The 3,053-nt window shown below is 36.2% G+C and overlaps 1 pseudogene across 1 annotated transcript; it reads left to right on the top strand.

Annotated features, from left to right (window-relative positions):
* The first annotated feature begins 565 nt into the window (after positions 1-565).
* Positions 566-2,588, top strand: FAM133DP (family with sequence similarity 133 member D, pseudogene; annotated as a pseudogene). Its single transcript, NR_034169.1, has one exon. The product of NR_034169.1 is annotated as a family with sequence similarity 133 member D, pseudogene (transcript).
* The last annotated feature ends 465 nt before the right edge of the window (positions 2,589-3,053 follow it).

The raw sequence follows: 3,053 nt of genomic DNA, 5'->3' as shown, positions 1-3,053 counted from the left end.
TTGGAGGTGTTATTCATAAAAACTTTTCCAAGTCCAATGCCCTAGGCTTTTTGAAATATAAGATAAGATCATGTCATCTGCAAACAGAGACTATTTGACTTGCTCTTTTTCAATATGAATGCCATTTTTTTTCCTTTTTGCCAGATTGTTCTAGTTAGGACTTCTAGTACTATGCTAAATATGAATGGTTAGTGTGGGTATCCTTATCTTATTCCAGTTCTTAGAGGAAAGCCTTTCAGTTTTTTCTCCGTTCAGTATGATGTTAGCTAAGGGTTTGTCATATATGGACTTTATGATGTTGAGGAACTTTCCTTCTATACCTAATTTATTAAGAGTTTTTATCATGAAGTCAGAATAAATCTTATCAAAATCTTTTTCTGAATCTATTGAATTGAGATGATCATGTGATTTTTGTCCTTCATTCTATTGATGTAATGTATAACGTTTAGTAATTTGCATAATTTGAACTATCTTTGCATTCCTGGGATAAATCCCACTTGACTGTGGTATATTATTGTTTTGATGTGTTGTTGGATTTGGTTTGTTGGCATTTTGTTTAAGATTTTTGCGAGGCGGCAAGAGGACCTGCGGCAGGCCCTCTTCGGCAGTCTCTCTGGCCCGGTTTCCCTCGGCGTGCTACTGTGCGCTCGATCCAGCACCATGGGGAAGCGGGACAATCGGGTGGCCTATATGAACCCAATAGCAATGGCGAGATCAAGGGGTCCAATCCAGTCTTCAGGGCCAACAATACAGGATTATCTGAATCGACCAAGGCCTACCTGGGAAGAAGTAAAAGAGCAACTAGAAAAGAAAAAGAAAGGCTCCAAGGCTTTGGCTGAATTTGAAGAAAAAATGAATGAGAACTGGAAGAAAGAACTGGAAAAACACAGGGAGAAATTGTTAAGTGGAAGTGAGAGCTCATCCAAAAAAAGACAGAGAAAGAAAAAAGAAAAGAAGAAATCTGGTAGGTATTCATCTTCTTCTTCATCAAGCTCTGATTCTTCCAGCAGTTCTTCTGATTCTGAAGATGAGGATAAGAAACAAGGAAAATGGAGAAAGAAAAAGAAGAACCGTTCACATAAATCTTCTGAAAGCTCCATGTCAGAAACTGAATCAGACAGTAAGGATAGTTTAAAAAAGAAAAAGAAGTCAAAAGATGGAACTGAGAAAGAAAAGCATATTAAAGGACTCAGCAAAAAGAGAAAGATGTATTCTGAAGATAAACCTTTATCATCTGAGTCCTTGTCAGAATCAGAATATATTGAGGAGGAGAAAACAAAAAAGAAAAAGAAGCATAAGAAACACAGTAAGAAGAAGAAAAAGAAGGCTGCTAGTTCAAGTCCTGACTCACCGTAACATTAAGAAAAATCAGGATTCCCTTATAAAGAAAGTGCAATGTCTGAGGAAATTTCAACTGTGAAAACTACAACATATTTACTAAAATGCATGAATTTTCTTGTTTTTAGAATTATTCCTGGACTATTCAGTAGCCACTCAGATGCCACTGTGTGAAAGGGCCATAAATGTTGCCTGCTGCTTGAACATCTATTTTTTTCTCTTCCAGTGCTTGATAACTCTGGGAGATAATACACTGCAGTCGTACTAGTGGTTAAGATATTTGGGAATAAAATTAATACTTTTGACTAGAAGCGTCTAAGGATAAACCAACAGAAATTGAATCTGGATACATCTTTAAGATGTAATCAGAAATGACCAGATGACTCTAGTTAGAATTTTTGAAGGAGGGATTACATTAATATTTCAAAACCCTTACTCTGTAGATAAGTGTATTTTAATTTTTTCCCCTCGTATACTTTTATTTACCTGGGGAAGGAGCTTTTAGGGTTGGGGGGTGGTTTGCTATCTCTTTAGCTAGCAGAATAGTGTGCCTTTGATCCTCACACATCCTGTATTATGGACACAGTAGCCATGCTTCACGGGGAGGTCAGAGCTGGCTACCAGCAGTCTTGCCCTTTACTGAGCTTAGTGTCATCTTTGGATGCTGTCATATGCTGCTTTGAGTGAACCAGAGAAACAGCCATTTGCAGCATGAGAAAGCCCCAAAAGCTCTGGGATTTACCTCCACTTCAGTAATAATGAATATTTTTTAGCATTAGAATGTGTTATGTCATTTGAATTAATTTTGACTACACTTTGGCTTGGGAGAGGAATTATTTTAAATAGACATTGGTACTTTTTGAACTTGATAGCTAAAGATTCTAAAATGCATGTTTTATACTAAGTTTTAACCAGTCAGGAAAATTTTATGTAACTAGTGATAGTTTATTTTTTTGTATGAATTTTGTTTAGGCTGCAATGTTTAGCTTTTGTTAACTCCTCACTCTTGCTGTCTTAAGTTCATTACTATGTTTAATGGCCTACTTGCCAAGATATTTAGCATGTAAAAAGCAGGGTTTTGATTAAAAAAAAAAAACGGCTTCATATTGAAGCTGAGACTTACAATAACAAGTTGAGTGGCAAGCCTGGTATGCTGTGTCTTATTGCCAGAATCTTAGTAAATGTAATGTTTTAAAAGTTTGTTGTCTTTGTATATTAATAACAAAGTATGACAAGTTAAGTTTAAAAAAAAAAAGATTTTTGCATCTGTGTTCATCAGGAATGTTGAACTGTGGTTGCCTTTTCGTTGCTGTGTCTTTTTCTGATTTTGGTACCAGGGTTATGCTGGCTTAATAGAATGAGTTACGAAAAATTCTCTCTGCTTTAAATTTTGGAATAGTTTGAGAAAAATTGGTATTAATTGTTCTTTAAAGGAATGCTACTTTACAACTTCTACTCATCAATTCAACATCGTTATCTGGCACATTTCCTTTCAGCATGATCAGGTGAACTAGTGAGAGTTTACCTTGGGTTTCAGTGGAGTTACTTGGCTTACAAGAGTTTTAGAAGTAATCATTCTGGATTTATTTCTGCTCAGCTGCATTCATTTTTAGCTGCAAATCTGGCCGGTGTTTCTCTTTGATTCTTCTCCTCCTCATATTACCTCCAGATGGTTTCTGAGGTCAAGTTATCCTAGCCTCAGAGGCAGTTTTTCT

The sequence above is a fragment of the Homo sapiens genome, chromosome 2 (assembly GCF_000001405.40).
Source record: "Homo sapiens chromosome 2, GRCh38.p14 Primary Assembly".
Taxonomy (NCBI): domain Eukaryota; kingdom Metazoa; phylum Chordata; class Mammalia; order Primates; family Hominidae; genus Homo; species Homo sapiens.
Note: the sequence above shows the minus strand (reverse complement) of the source record. Positions and strands in the feature narration are given on the sequence as shown.